At 42.0% G+C, this 17251-nt stretch overlaps 1 annotated feature.

Moving 5' to 3' along the window:
* Positions 6046 to 6515: a silencer, noted in NCBI's record as "silent region_8730". NCBI's record gives its function as "represses an Ori minimal core promoter by ATAC-STARR-seq in GM12878 lymphoblastoid cells {active_cell/tissue: GM12878}" and the evidence as "EXISTENCE:reporter gene assay evidence [ECO:0000049][PMID:35858748]".

Consider the following 17251-nt stretch of genomic DNA (forward strand, 5'->3'; position numbering starts at 1 on the left):
TCCTACTCCTGGTTTATAAAATAAGTTTATTTTTCTGTTAATGAAATCTGACTCTAAGGCTACACTCCCTATTGAGAGACTACATTCCTCCCTATGCTAGAATGATCTTTTCTGTGATCACCTCTGTATCCAAAATGGTTGGGAAAATTAAATAAGCTTCTGTAGGGAAAATGCTTAGACTAATGTCTAGCTTTATTCTAATAGAATAGAAAGCCCTCAATAAAAAGTATTTATTATTATTATTCCTACCATCAATATCATTCCTTGCCTGTTGGACTCAGAATTTGGTGAGCCAACCTGAGGCCAAGGATGTCACGTGCATAGTAGCTGTTGAAGCTGCTCACAAATATTCCAGCTCCTTTTCCTTCCTGGCATCAGTAGAACTGACTTATGCAACCACCGTGGTTGTGTGGAAGAACTACATGACAAGTTCTAGCCAATGGGTTGTGAGTGGAAGCAATGAGTGTTACCTCCAGGCACTAATGCAGGACCCTCCAGTGCTCTATTTTCACTCTGCCACGCAATGTCTCAAATAATGGTTGTAGCTTGTATCTCAGTCCTCAAGTGAGAACAATGATGAGATGGAGCACCAACCTGCAATGGGTATGTAGTATGAACAAGAAACAAATCTTTGGCCAGGTAAGGTGGCTCATGCCTGTAACCCTAGCACCTTGGGAGGCTGAGGCAGGAGGACTGCTTGAGGTCAGGAGTTCAAGACCAACCTGGGCAACAAGGCAAGACCCCTGATATGGTTTGGCTCTGTGTCCCCACCCAAATCTCATCTCGAATTGTAATCCCCATAATCTCCAGGTGTCGAGGGAGGGACCTGGTGGGAGGTAATTGGATCATCATGGGGGCAGTTTCCCCTGTGCAGTTCTTGTGATAGTGAGTTCTCACAAGATCTGATGGTTTTATGCTTGACAGTTCCTCCTACACATGCTCTCTCTCTTGCCTGCTGCCATGTAAGATGTGCCTTGTTTCCCCTTTGCCTTCCACCATGATTGTAAGTTTCCTGAGGCCTCCCAAGCCATGTGGAACTGTGAGTCAATTAAACCTCTTTCCTTTATAAATTACCCAGTCTCAGGTATTCTTCATAGCAGTATGAAAACAGACTAATACAACCTCCATCTCTACAAAAAATCTTAAAAAGTAGCCAGGTGTGGTGGTGCATGCCTGTAGTCCCAGCTACTTGGGAGGTTGAGATAGGAGGATCACTTGAGCCCAGGACTTTGAGGCTGCAGTGAGCCATGATTATGCCACTGCATTCCAGCCTGGGCCACAGAGCAAGACTCTGTTTCAAAATAAATAATTTAATTTTAAAAAGAAATAAATCTTTACCCTTTCAAGTCACTGGTATTTGGATTTTTTGTAACTGACCCACTCCAGCCTATGCTGACTGACACATACCAGTAACTTGGTTATCTAAGAACAAGCTACTGCATTACAAGTGCACTGCCAAAGCAGGAGGCCCGGCCTGATATTCCAAAAGATTCTTCACCAGTGGATGTTCCTGCCACAGCATTTCACAAAGTTTTGTTTTCCAGAAAATGTGGGGGAAGGGAAAACAAGGAAGGGTCCCTTATGCTCACCTATGAGCTCCCAATGTTATGGTCATTTCTGGCCAATACTCCCTTGATGATAAGATGGCCCCACCATCAGACACATGCTTCATCCTCAAGTGACAATTGAGAGCCTGATACCAATCACACCCTTTCTCTATCACCATGACATTTCGGTATCTTTTTCTACCTACTGGTCTCAGGGCATACTATCTCCATCAGAGATTTTCAAATAATGTTTAGCATCAAAAGGGAAAGAGAAAGGGAGTTTCCAGGCCTGTAAAAACTTGTCTCCTTATGCAAATATGCTCCACCCTGCCCCGTAATGTTTACATTTTCTATAGCAAGAATTATGGAATGGATGGCTTCGTCATGCCCAAAACTTCCTCCCAATTTCCACACATCAGGCACCTTGACCATTCTCCTGTCCCTTCATAACAGTGAGTAGAATCTTTTGTTGACCATTTCTCAGGACCTTCACCATTTTCTGTCTTCAGGCCTGTCTCCAACTGTGAGAGGTTTTTTAATATCTGGGATTTAAATACTCCTCCTTTCTCTACCCCAAATGCCTGTACAATGTCTGACTTATGGGGTCTCACCTCTGAAGACCCAGCTCAGGTATCACATGCTAATGAAAGTAAGATGCTACCTCCCATCTACCACCAACTATGGTAGAGACAGCCATTCACTCTTTCAGGTCCTCGACCCCCACCCATCCTGACAAACATTCACAACTGGCTGTCTTCTCCTTATAGACTACCTCCCCTACTAGGTTGGGTTCTCCTGGAAAATAGGACTTTTGTTGATTTTTGTTTATTTTCTTCATAGACCCAACAACTAATGAATCTCCTGATCTATCCTTTCAGATCCTTAATGTATGTTTGTTCAACTGTCAAATGAATATACAGCATATATGTTCACAAAAATTCACACATCTAGTTAAAAACTCAAAGTTTAAAGTATGATTTGAGCTGTAGTAAGAAGGATAAGTAAGAAAGACTTTTACAAGGAAAAAAAGGAAGCACAGACAAATAAATACAGGGGTATGAATCCATCTCTGTCTACTGTTAAGACTGTTAAGCTGTGGGCCTTACAGTTTCAGATGGACACTTTAAAGTTTCTAGTTTTGGCCTGTCCAGACCACAAGACAAATACGATGGCACATTATTCCTGTGAGTTCACCCTTGCATCACCCCAAGAGTGAGCGCCTCCTTAAATTTTCCACCCTGGCAGCTGCACTGGCCTTAGGCTGCCCTTGAGAGAATGCCTCAACCTTGAATTGATGGTTGTTAAATACTTAAATATTTTAAAACCTAATGTGTTCGATGAGGTCCCTTCTCCTTCCGGTATGACCATGCCAATTACAGGCATGTTCTGTGTATAATGTGTCTCATTTTGACATACCAGGCAGCAATGTGGATATGCTTGGAATCATTCTTGACTCTTCCCCCCTCCTCTCATATAACTAGCCGAGTGGTGGTGAGACATCCTCCATCCTGCTTTTCTAGGAAAGGGTGAAGTTAGGGGGAGCAGAACAGGAGAGGGAGAGCACGGCAGATGCTGTGGGGTGACAGTAACTGGCTGACTGATCTGTGAACACATGTGAAAGACCCTCGGGTATTCTCTAACTGGTTGAGACTTGGAAACAACGAGCAGGTGGAAATAGAGTCAGAGCAATTTAAATACTTACAACGCATCTATATCCACAGGGTGGTGGGGCCTGGGGCACCTGGTTTCTTACATTTTCAGCATCACTTCTCGCTCCTCCAACACAAACACCCGTCCCCCCCCACCACCATGCCAATAGGTCTTTTCTCTAATCTTGAGAACACCCAATTCATTTCCACCTGTACTCTTCCCCCACTCCCCACCCCCCGAGATGGAGTCTTGCTCTGTCACCCAGGCTGGAGTGAAGTGGTGCGGTCTTGGCTCACTGCAACCTCCGCCTCCCTGGTTCAAGCAATTCTCCTGCCTCAGCCTCCTCGAGGAGCTGAGATTACAGGTGCACGCCACCATGCCCAGCTAATTTTTGTATTTTTAGTAGAGATGGGGTTTCACCATGTTGGCCAGGCTGGTCTCCAACTCCTGACCTCCTGATTCCACCCACCTTGGCCTCCCAAAGTGCTGGGATTACAGGCATGAGCCACCACGCCTAGCCTCCACCTGTACTATTTGGCTCATACTGTCCAACTATCTATACAGCCTTTCCCTTCTCCGGTGCTTATTGTATCTTACCTTAGCAATCCTTCAAGGCCCACTCCTATTTGCTATATTTTTTTTCAACCAATCCCTGCCTCTGCTCTCAACATCTGCCACACTGTATTATCATCCACGTAGACATTTAATTGCATGCTGTCTCATATCATTATTTCAGCGTTTCCCAAGTATTTATCTTGCCTGCCTAACTTGATTGTCTTCCCTCTGAGTTCAGGGGCTTGGTCATGAATATCTGCTGTTTTTTCTGTATGAGCCTTTATGCTTCCACAGACAGTAGAAGTTTTTGATACTTATTCGATGGGTAGATGAAGAGATAGAACGTAAATGTGGTGTTTGCACACTTCCTTGTATATAATTCTGCCATAATGGTATCACTGATTTCTCATTATAACTCAAGTAGTTTTGCTAGATTGGAGATAGACTTTTCTGATGTGTTCATGCTCTTACTCCATCACTGGGAAGGTATACAGTAGAGGGAAAATGCAAGTATACTGCCTACATAATCTTCAGGAAGTCAAGAGCTATCACTTCATCCAGTTTGCCACACCAGAAAGAGGGAAATAATAGCGGTGGGAGTGACAGTAATGATTAAGAGGCATTGTGGTCACTTCACACCATCCATAGGCTGTCTTTTTTTTTTTTTTCTTTAGCTCCCCTCAAAGCACATGGACTAATAGAGTAACACAAACGAATTGGCATAATTCCTTCTCCTGCTATTGTTACTAGTTCAAGTGTGGGCACTTGCCCCAACTTGAGGCCAAGAGTATAGGGAGGATGTTTACTTGCTGCTTCTGGGAAGAAGCACTTTTACTAAATGAGACTTTCCCAAAGCTTTACTTTTTTTTTTTTTTTTTTTTTCTTTTTGAGGCAGGTTCTCACACTATCCCCAAGGCTGGAGTGCAGTTGGGATCTCAGCTCACTGCAACCTCCGCCTCCCAGGCTCAAGTGATTTTCGTGCCTCAGCCTCCTGAGTAGCCGGGACTGCAGGCGTGAGCCACCACGCCTGGCTAATTTTTGTATTTTTTAGTAGAGACGGAGTTACACCATGTTGCCCAGGCTGGTCTCGAACTCCTGAGCTCAGGCAGTCTGCCCGCCTCAGGCTCCCTAAGTGCTAGGATTACAGGCGTGAGCAACCGCTCCCGGCCTCCCAAAGCTTTAGATGAAGCTGACACTATGGAAACCTTGGCAGAAGATTAGAAAGAAACAAGTTCCTGATGGCATTGTTTAGCAGGCAAATCGATGTATCCCTGAAATCCAACATCCAATCTGAAGTTAAATGAGCTTTACCGTTCAAGCCACTTAGAGTTGGACTTTTAGTTAACTTGCAACCGAATATAACCGGCACATATGTACTAACCACAGTGATAATAATATCTGCACTACAAACTCACAATCGGGAGAGTAAAAGCTAATCACATATGTGAAACTGCTGTGTCAGCTTTATTATGCAAGTATTTGTTGCTGAGAGCCTCTTGGTTAAGATACTTTCCCTCAAGAGACAGAACTTGAAAAGAATCTTAAAGATGTGGAGGGCTTCGGTTGTTCATATCGGGATTTTAAAAAACGTCTCAACTGTGTATCAGAAAGCTTAAGACATTAAGATTCAAGCTGAACAGAACAGGAAATGCGGCAGATACTGTACATGACAAACTTTCTAGGAGGAAATGATTTACATAAAAGCTGGTGCCCAGCACAGGGTAAGTGCTAAATAACTGTTTTTAAATGTTATTTGGAAAAAAAAAAAAAAAGATTAATCATCCATGGTACAAAATTTAAAAGTTACATAAGTATGGAGTCTCGCGTCTTCCCTGACCCCCACCCCCAGTCATCCAATATATTTTTCCAGAACTAGTCTGATCATAACATATATACATATATAATTTTTTTCCTCACAAATGTCAGCATCCCAGACACTGTTCTGCATCATTTTTTTTTACAAATCACATAATGTATCTTGAAGGTCTTTCCATATCAGTGTCTAGAGAGCAGAGTCTATTTGTTTTTAAGAGCTGCAGACAACTTCAAGTGTGGCCCAACCATAATTTACGTTTCTATGAATTTAACCGGTGTTATCGTTGGACATTTTGACTGTTTCTGGCCGTTTGTGATGTCCAACAATGATGTAATGATTATCCTTGCAGGGACTTCACTTCGCAGGAGCAGAAGCCCATTTGCAGGATAAATTCTGAGTTGCGGAACTAGTGATTTACAGGGCAGAGGTGCAGTCTTTGTCTTAATTTCTGAATTCACGAATGTTGAATGTGATGAATTCGTGGGAAGCCCCGCAGGGAGCCTAAGCAGCTCTCCAGAGGCTGTGGTTGTCACGGATGATGATTGCGGGACCCGCAGACTGAGTCTCCAAGCGCTCCGCCCCGCCGCGCCCCTCTCCGCGGGTCCCACCGCGGACCCGCCCCTGCGCGCCCCGGGCCAGGAGCCCCTAGCTGCAGGACCAGGCACGTGCGATTCCACGTGAGCCTCCCGGCCGGAGCGCAGATGGGAAGTGCGCATGCGCCTACCGCCTGGAAAGTAGGTCAGACTCCTCCTCTCACGTGACCTGCTCCCCTTAGCTACCCTCGGCGCCTCCCCGCCGGGGCGCAGCCGGGATGCGCTCGGCAGCCAACGTGACGGGGCTGGGCGCGGGCGGCTCCGCGAGCGCCCAGCGCCCGCGAGGATTTGCCGGTTCTCCTCACACCCGAGCGCTCCGCTCAGAAGTCGGGCGGGCAAAAGGGAGCGCCTCGGGAAGTATCTGGGAGCCGGGCTGGAAATGAATGGGGCCCGGAAGCGAGCTCAAATCGCTGACACCTGGCACCGGGCTGCGTCCACTTTCATGCTTCCTAAGGCAGTTCTGCCTGCAAGAAGGGAACGCGCATCGCCTTTCAGTAGATCACACCGATCGTTTGCACGTTTGCATTCTCAATTTCTGCACTATATAGGGCAACTCAGACATGAAAACAATCTTTGTAAGAAGAAGTGGAATGCTAATGGTTCCTGGAGTTTTGCAGGAATATTCCACCGGCCCCATTTCTAATCTCCCACTCACTCCCTCCCCAAAGACACTCCTACTAGAAAGCTTATCGGTAGATTTCTCACCTTCCACAAGAGACTTCAGGGGCGCTGCTGCTGCTGCTGCTGCTGCTGCTGCTGCTGGAGGCTGGAGGGGGTTGGGAGCAGGGAACGAAGGCAGGTCTGAATTAGCTGAAGCTAAATTCTATATATCAGAAATAATTTTATTTATTGCCCCATTGCTTTCTGATTTTTAACTTGTTGCACAAATGACAGACTCTGCCTCAGTGAGTTGCAATCCAGTGGAGGGCACTAACAGGCAAAATCATGGGTTACAATGCAGTGGGCTATACATGTTTTAATAGAGGTGTGCCCAGGTGTTATATAAGCACAGTGGTGGGTACCCTGAGTCTTGAAGACTAAGTGGGAGTTAGCTGGCAGAGAAATAAGGCAGAGGGGGTGGAAAGTGTTCCAAACAAAGGGAATAACTAATAGTTACATAATATTTTCCTCTAAGAAGTTTTTACTATAATTGTCTTAGTCATGCATATGGTTAGAATATGTATTGTTTACATTTATATTATTCTAAGACAGTCTTGAATGAACATTGTTGTGCATGAGGCTTCCCCCCTCCACTTTTAATAACCCCTAGGAGTGGGATTGCTATATAAAAGACACAAATATTTTGTAACTTTTGATAAAGTATTGCCAAATTATTTTCAAAAATATGTTGTACTCATTTGTACCAATATTTAGCCTTCAGTCAGTAAATTGCCCGTTATTTCAAATCAATGAAGCCTTATGACATTAACACTTGATTCATTAGAATATGCCAGAAATCATAATACACATGCATTTCTGCTTTATATGACCCATGACAAAAGTCTAATTGAATTCAAGTTTAAAAATGGGAAAATATCGGATCAGTACATTTCATTCTTACAGGGAACACCTAACATGGACAAGGTGGGAGGTGGGGGCAGGAGTGAAAGTGGGACAAACTAAAGCCTCACCAAATGCCTGTCTCTGATTGCTCTTTTCTTACTGTACGTCTAGGGTAAGAGATAAAGCAGCTCACACAAGCCAGAACAAGCAAAGAGGTTTTCACACCCCTCTGCAAATGTCAGAACAGTAGCAGAATCAAAGGGACCTAGGGTTTGACCTCTTCAGAGGTCACTTTAACTTGCAGCAGAAAAGCTGATCAGGTGTTGATGAATTTCTGGAAGCCTGCAAGCTTCCTAACTCAATTTCTGTTGGCATCTGTATCTGCAAGAAGAAAACAATACTGTGACATTAGAACATTTGTGACGAAAGGTAATGTAAGTAATGTGGACAATGAAAGGAGAACGTATCTTGGTTTTGCCTGTATTAAGCTAGATCACTAAGGAAATCTGAAGCATGGAACAGAGTTATAACTTTTCAAACACATGGTTGTAGTTCATACTGCGGTTATTTTCCTAATATCTATCCTTCACCTTGTGTATCAGTCTTATAATTTCAGCTGGTGGGGGGCCTTACCTCCTCTCTCAGTTCAGGGGTTGGGCTTGACCAAATTAACAAATCAGGGTGGTCCCATTGTTTTTTGTTTCGTTTCGTTTGGGTTTTCTGTTTATTTATTTGCCTTTAAAATTTTATTATAATAACATTTAACATGAGATCTACCCTTCTAAAATTTTTTAAGTGTGAAACATTATTGTTGATTATAGGTGCAATGTTGTACGGCAGATCTCTAGAACTTATTCATCTTGCTTGACTGAAACTTTATGCCCACTAATTGGTAACTCCCCATTTTGTCCCCTCCCCAGCCCCTGGAAACCACCTTTCCACTTTTTGAGTCTTTGAATTTGACTATTTTGAGTTCCTCAGATAAGTGGAATCATGCAGTGTTTGTCTTTCTGTGACTGGCTTATTTCACTTAGCATAACGTATGCAAGGTTCATCTATCTCATTTTATATTGCAGAATTGCCTTCTTATTATGGTTGAATAGAATTCCATTGTATGTCTATACCATATTTGCTTTATGCATTCATCTGTTGATAGACATTTAGTTTGTTTCCACCATTCCTCTTTTTATGAGGATTGAAAGAGTTCCTGCAGCAGATGCACTTAGAAGAGTGCCTGACATATATTAAGAGTACATGAAGTATTAGTTGTTGTTACTGTTGTTATTATTAGTGTAACAATGACTGGTTCAATCAGAGGAAAGCCTGGACTTGTTATAGTTACTCGATGCCATCCTTTCTCCTTGGACAGGAATGGAAGAGCAGGTATAACTACTGATGCCCTCTTTCCACCTCGAGAGGATCCAACCCAACCACACACCTGATAAACAGGGAGAAGCAGAGGAAGCTACACCCTGATCAAACTACACTTGAAGCCTGTACTCCCTCTTGACCTTTGAGCTGTTTGAGCTAAATGCATCCCATTTGTTACCTTAATTATTAGAATTGGGTTTTCAGGTGTTTGTCAATGCAGACATCCTGATACCAATGTCTAGGTCTTCATTTTATTTTATTTATTTATTTTTAGACAGGGTGTCACTCTGTCACCCAGGATAGAGTGAAATGGCATGATCTCGGCTCACTGCAGCCTTGACCTCCCAGGCTAAAGCAATCCTCCCACCCCAGCCTCCCAAGTAGCTGGGACTACAGGCATGTACCACCACACACAGCTAAGTTTTTTTGTAGAGATGGAGTTTTGCCATGTTGCCCAAGTGGGTCTTGAACTCCTGGGCTCAAACAGTTCACCCACCTTGGCCTCCCAAAATGCTGGGATTACAGGCATGTGCCAGCACACCTAGCCCAGGTTTTCATTTTAACTAAAGGGTCAAAATGATGACACAGACACTCCATTTTGAGCATGCACTTGTTAAAGAATGGAATTAAATTTCACATCCGTAACAAATGAATAAAACATCCAATGTATTAGTTTGCTAGAGCTGACATAACAAAATACCACTGACTGGGTGGTTTAAACAGAAATTTATAGTCTTACAGTTCTGGAGGCTAGAAGTCCAAGATCAATGTGTCAGCAGGGTAGGTTTCTTCTTAGTCTCTCCTGGCCTTGTAGACAGCCATCTTCTTCCTGTTTCTTCACATGGTCTTCCCTCTTCATGTGTCTTTGTCCTAATTTCCTTTTCTTGTGAGGATACCAGTCATGTTGGATTAGGGCCTACCCCAATGACCTCATTTTAACTAAAGTATCTCTTCAATGACCTTATTTCCAAATATAGCCACATTCTGAGTACTGGGAGCTAGGACTTCAACATATGAATGGGGCAGGGGAGGGGACACAATTTGGTCGATAACATCCAAAAAGGCATTAATAATATCATATGGATTATTTGATACCAGATCTTTACCTTGATACAAATGCTGTTCTCCAAGTTTTTGTTTAGGGGCTAGGAAAGGAAGAGAGATTGAGAATACGAAAGCTCCTCTCTGAGAACAGATCCAGAAAAACAGCATGTAATAAAGATTTGGCTAAGCCCACTCTCAAATATCTGTCCTGGAAGGACAATTCACATTGATGACAGGAAAGCTAATATAAAGATAACTTTGGTTATTTAACTCTTTGTGAGCCTCCGTGAGGATGGGCAACTTTGCTGAAGAATCTGTTTCAGGCTGATCTTTTTTTTCTCCGTTAACAATTCTTAGCTAAAGTTTTGGTGCTTTACTGAAGAATGGAATCTCATTTCTGGACATGGTTGAACAGCTGTTTCTGTGTTCTTTCTAATTTCAGTGAGGCAAGGCTCCAAAAACAAATAGAAAGCTTGGTTTGCATTCTGAGGTTGGCCATTGAATTGAATGGTTTGTACTGCAGGAAAAAGCTGTGTGACATAGAAGTCACTTCCCCACTTTGGGCTCAGTTTCTCTTAATGTAAAATAAGACAGTTGGACTCCATGATTTCCAATGTTGTGTCCATCTATTCACCATATGATTGATTGGAAAAAAAAGTATTTTGATTTCTTTGCTAGTAAAAACTGAGGCCAGGCATGGTGGCTCACGCCTGTAATCTCAGCAATTTGGCAGGCAAAGGTGGGCGGATCACCTGAGGTCAGGAGTTCGAGACCAGCCTGGTCAACGTAGTGAAACCCTGTCTCTACTAAAAATACAAAACTTAGCTGGGCGTGGTGGCACATGCCTGTAATCCCAGCTACCTGGGAGGCTGAGGCACGAGAACTGATTGAATCTGGGAGGCAGAGGTTGCATTGAGCCGAGACCACACCACTGCACTCCAGACTGGGTGACGAAGCGACCCAGACCCCATCCCCCCAAAAAAACTTCATTTATCATTCCCGAAACCCTTTCCTAGCATGCAAGTGTCTATTAAGCTCCATCTGCGTCAGGTATTCATGGCAGACAAGAAAGGTACATTTCTTTGAGAATCAGATGATCCATATCGCCCATTGTTGAGAACATCTGCCCATCTTTATTTCATTGCCTAAATTCCTTTTTCTTGGAGTGAGGAAAGAGACAGGGAAGAACAACTGTTTGTAGTAGCAGCCAGCATTGGAAAGAAAATATCTTTTTGTTGCTAGTCAGTGTACTAAAGATACACACCTGGCTCCAGCTCAGAGGTTTGTAACCAGGGATGCGCATCAAAATTACCCCTGAAATTTCTAAAAGCACATGTCTGTAACTCTACTTCTCAAAATTTTGAATCAGTAAGTCTGAAGGAGGGCCTGAATCTGTGGAAAAGTCCTACAGATATAATGCTATGGGTTTGGTCTAACCATTTCTTCATTTCCATTAAATCACTCCCAGGTCCTTTTAGTCAGTTATACCAAATCACCTTGTATTGCACATTATTGGAAATATACCTGCATTTGAAAGGAACAATTCGGCTGGGCGTGGTGGCTCACGCCTGTAATCCCAGCACTTTGGGAGGCCGAGGCGGGTGGATCACCTGAGGTCAGGAGTTCAAGACCAGCCTGGCCAACATGGTGAAACCTAATCTCTACTAAAAATACAAAAATTAGTCGGGCGTGGTGGCAGGCGCCTGTAATCCCAGCTACCTGGGAGGCTGAGGCACCAGAATTGCTTGAACCCAGGAGGCAGAGGTTGCAGTGAGCCAAGATCATGCCACTGCATTCCAGCCTGGGCGACAGAGTGAGACACCGTCTCAAAAAAGAAAACAAAACGAAATAAACAAACAAAAACAACTCTTTCTTTCCCAAAGTTACATATTAAGTGTTTTAGTTGGTTGTGAGAAACACAATTAAGTGCCCCAGAAAATTTTACCTGTTTTGTGATCCAAATGCAGTTAGCATTTCTGAAACTAGATATAATGTTTTGCTATGGAGCTTACATATTGTAAACAGCAACAAAAACTTAGTATGGTATTTGCGATAAATAGAGAGTAATATTTGATATCAGTGTTCTTTTTTAATCACCGAGGTACATTCTGGAATTACAGCACTAAAATAACAAAAGACTTGATTCCACCAACCCTCCTGGTGGGCTTATTTAAGCAAATTGTATTTGTTTGCCGAACTGTAAATAAAACAGGTTCTAGCCTTCCATTCCTTCAGACTTGCATTTCTGTAGCTGCATATGGAATTTGTTCTTATTAGACTCCAGTAAAGAGCGTCCAGGGATAGAAAAAGAGGAAACATTACTCAAAACACAAAACATAGTAAAACAAAGAATTGCCCATTTCTTTCAGAAGTCCAGCTCTTAGAGCAGTGGAACAAACAGACGTTGCGCAGTGAAACAGAACAGTCTTGACCCCCAGCTCCTTCTTGCCACTGGTAGTCTACATGTGCAGCTGTACTTGTGACATTCCCTTCAGTACTCTTACCTGCCCAAAGGTGGTCATCACACTCATATGGCAGGTGGCTATGAGGATCAGAGTAGAGATGATACATGTGAAATGCTTGGCACGTAATGGGCACCCTCAAATAGTCACAGGCATCATTTTTATTATTTTCTTAGGAAAAAAAATAGGTGAACAAGCCAGGATTTACTGGTTTTTTTCTTTCAGAGTTTTATATTAATGAGATAAATTCAAAAGGAATTTGACAAAATTTGGAAGGTTCATATTTGCCTCTTTGTAAATAGAGATGCCAACTCTGTAGTGGCTGCTTCTCTATAGATGAAGCACAAAATGTTAAGGTATACGTGACATTTTCAAAGGCATCAAAGGAACCCTGTACAATGCCTCTGAACTACACATTAGCTGTGAATTGATGGCTTCACTTGAAATCTAATGAAAACTCAAACTCTCTAGATTTGAGTTGCTGCTACAACTTGGCACGATCTTTTTCAATGTGGGGGAAATGTATCCAAATAGGATATGTAGTGTTTAAAATATCTCAGGTTCTTATAGAACCTAAGATTAGTAAGTACAAAGCAGGTGGCTGTAAACTGTACCCTGGTTGTTGTAAGGGAATGAGAGAAGAAAATTGAGCCCTTAAAAAGATTAACCTATTCAGGTTCTGAACCTGCTTGGGGACAAACTCATATATCAACCTAAGAATCCAGACAAGTGGAAGAAGAAAGGAAGGAAGGGTTGTGATATTGAGATCAGACATTCAAACTCAAGGGGAGACTTTATACTTATTAATGGTCCAGTCCCCAAAGAAGATAAAACTATCATAAATTTTTTGCACCAAATAACATAACATAAAAACATAACACAATTAATATAGTTGAAATAACAGGTATATATACCAGCTATTTACTCTATAGAGAATACATTTTGTTTAAGTGCTGAAACGTTTATAAGAGTTACTCTTTTTTTCATAGTTTTATATCAATGAGATAAATTCAAAAGGAAATCGACTAATTTTGGAAGGCTCATATTTGCCTCTTTGTCTTATTATGTCCCTAATATCACATATTGGGACTCAAATACACATTTGATAAATTATCAGATGTGGGCATAGTGTTAGCAGTGGTTGACTCTGAAGATGAGGTTCAGAGTGATCTTAACTTTTTTATGTTCCTTTATATTGTTTGAATATTTTATAACCAACATGTATCATTTCTATAATGAAAAATAAGGTTATTTTCATTTAAAAAGAATACCTACTATTCCTGAACACTAACCATATTTAGGGGCAAATACTAAGCATGTGTCCTGATATATTTCATTTCATTCTCACAACAACACCTGAAGTAGAATGTCAAAGATTGATAGTTTCCCTCCCCACACATGTCTTTTCTCTACTACTTCTATAATCATAGAGGATTTAGGTCGACATGTGCCACCCAGCTGAAGACCACATTTCCCAGCCTTCCTTGCTGCTAAGTGTGGTCATAGGATGATTAATTGGATGTGAGTAAAACAGATGTGTTCAATTTCTGCTCCCTCTCCACCTTCTAACCTTTCTTGCTGCTAGAACATGAACCCAGTGAACGTGGTCGAGAACCCTATTCAACAAAGCTGAAGACAGCCACCCTTTAGGGGATGCAGACTAACAAGAGAGAGGAAACCTGTGTGCCTAGTACCATGGAGCCCCAGAGCAGCTGTGGACTGTGTATAATCAGACTGTTGTGGAGGGAGAAATAAACTTCATCTTGTTTAAACTGTGTTAATTTGGTATCTGTTAAAGCAGCCAAATTAATCTTCTATTATTATTTTACATTGTGTAGCTTTTCTTACAAGAAATGTAACATTTCCCTTATGTTTTACAACCATAATTATTAAAAATATTCAGACTTTATTTTATGTTGAATATATTTTAATGCTCACCAATAATGCTTATATGCCTCAACATCACAATCATGCCCAGGGCCCCTAATGATATCTTTCCATTCCAGGAAAAATGTACAAGTGATATGTTTCCACAGTTCTTACATGCTTGAATGACAATTTGATTGCTTTTAGAATTCTTGAGTCGTACTCTTTTCCCTCTAAATCTCTAGGGACTCCTTTAAAAAAAATCTACTGGGCTAAAGAGAGAGTTGAGATATTTGAGAGCAGACTGATCATTTCTTCTTTTAAAGTAACTTGATTTTTCTACTAGGGTACCTGTGGACTGTAAACTCTAGATAAATAACATCACAAATGTGACAGCATTGGTCAATATTTAATCATTTTTAAAAAACATTGTAGCCTCTTCAATATGTAGATTTCTGGCTCCTGTCATTCTATTTCCTTATTATATCATTTAATTTTTCTTTCTATTCATTTATCATCTTCAGAAACACCAACTGTTATCTAACTGATTCATCCCTTCAACAAGTGTTAAGTAAATGTCGGCTTACAAATGTTGGCTCTTAATATTACTGTGTGCCAGGCATTGTTCTAGGTGCCAACACTAGAATAATGAATAGGATAGAAAGCATTTCTACTCCGTGGAGCATATCTTTTAGTGGGAAGAGAAAATAAGCAAACAGAAAACTAAGCAAGATAATTTCAGATAGAGATATGTTTTAGGAAGAAAAACCAGGTTGATATGATAGCATGACTGCCATGAACCAGTGGATCAAGGAAACTTCACTGAGCTGAACCCTGAGTGACTTGAAAAAGCCTTTCATCCAAAGATCCTCAACCCCTCTTTCTCTGTCACACTCCATATCCACCCCACAGAAAATCCTGCTTAGGTGTTTGCGTTTTAAATTTGTGTTAATACTATTATTGTTGTGTGTGTGCTGAGGGCATCTGAAAGTACATTTCAAAATATATCTTGAATCAGACCACTTATCATCTCAGCTGCTACACCCTAGACCAGGCCGCTTTATTCATCAGCTTCTCTTCCTGCTTCCATGCTTGTGCCTACCCTCCACAGTGCACTTTATATCCAACAGTCACAAAATTTCTGACAAATAAATTGTATCACGTGCACAAATCCTTATAATGGTTTCCTATGGCAGAGGAGTTATTTTCTAGCAGAAACCATTTATTCCTTCTTCCTTTAGTAACCAAATTACCCCGTTTTAGCTAGGCACATTTCCCAGCTTCCCTTGCAGCTAATTTTGACCATGTGACCATATTCTGGCCAATGGAATATGAGTAGAAATGAGGTGAACAATTTCCAGGTTGTGCCCTCAAGAGGAAAAGGATTGTCCTCTCTTCCTTTCTCTCAGTTCTTTTGGCTGGAATATGGACCCACGTGGTGGCAAGCTGCCCTCTGCTGTGTAGATGACAAACCCTGGGGGATGGTGGAAAAACAAGAAATGTGGCTCCTGATACTGTGGAAACCCTCGGGCTGCTTACCCTTAGATTGTTACATGTCAGAGGAATGAACTTCTGTATTATTTAAATCATCTAAGCTCTTTAGGGACATGAACAAAGATGATGTCTGCCACTTCTGAATCATGCCCTTAAAAGAAAAGATTGCCTTGCCTTTCCCTGTCTCTGCTGTGTGGGATGCAAACACAATGGCAGCAGGGGGCAGCCATCTTAGTTTCAGAAATGGAAGCACCATCTTGAGGAGAGCAGAGCAACCCTGCAATCCCAGGCTGCCTATCTCTGGACAGTTATATGAGAAAGAAACAAACTTCTAACCTGTTGGAACCCCTCTACTTTCCAAGTCTCTGTTACAGCATCTTAGATTCTACCCAACTGGCGTCTTTTACTTAAAATTAAGTGAAATCTGAAGTTCTTAACATGAAGAAGGGTATGCCTATCTCATGGGAGGTGAACAGCTATCACAGTATCTGCAAGAAAGTAAATACTAAAAGTATATCACTTTCCTTCATCTCCCTGCACTTCACTCCGTACATCATTTTAATGCCTGGAACCCTAAAATCAGTGTAACCAAGTTTTAATGAGAAGCTAAATACCTGTAATTAGAAAAAATTGTTCTTAGGAGAATAGCATCACTACATAAGTATGTCAGAAGATACCTCACTATATTTTTGACATGACAAAGGTTCCAGGTTTTTGGGAAAGTGGGGCATTATTGATTTTATGCCTTACAACTGTCATCGTTTTACATCCAATCTATGCCTTAATCTTCTCACTCTTCTCAGAGTGCCTACAGGAATGAATTCATTAGACATTCAAGAGGAGAAGCTTGATGTGTTAGCACAGCATCGTGATACCAGCGCTTTTCTTAGACAGTTAAAGCCTGAGAATGTCAACCCACTGCTAGGGCATTAATTAAATTGGGCAACGATCAGAGTCATGATTAGGACATTCGTGGAATAGCGAGGGGACGCCTCATCTCGCCCAGCCCCCAGCGGCTGCTGCCACAACAGGGAACAAAAGGAACCAACTGGGCTTTCATTAAACACCAAGGATGAGATATGCACTTTATATATATTGTTTCCTCCATTTCCTGCAAGGTTCCTATAAAATGGTCATTACGTTCCCCATTTTAGTGATGAGACAATTGAGGCTTGGGAGACTTGGCTATTTGCCTAAGAATGCTGAACCAGGCAGTTATAAAGCCAGATTCTTTTCCATGTCTGCATGTGTTAAAGCTCATGCTCCTTCTCTCCCCCTTCCTCATTCCTTCCCCACTCCCCAATTCCAGCCTCTGAAAATATAACAAAGAGAGGTGAGCTCTAGTTTGGG

Source organism: Homo sapiens, chromosome 17 (assembly GCF_000001405.40).
Source record: "Homo sapiens chromosome 17, GRCh38.p14 Primary Assembly".
NCBI classification, from domain to species: Eukaryota; Metazoa; Chordata; class Mammalia; order Primates; family Hominidae; genus Homo; species Homo sapiens.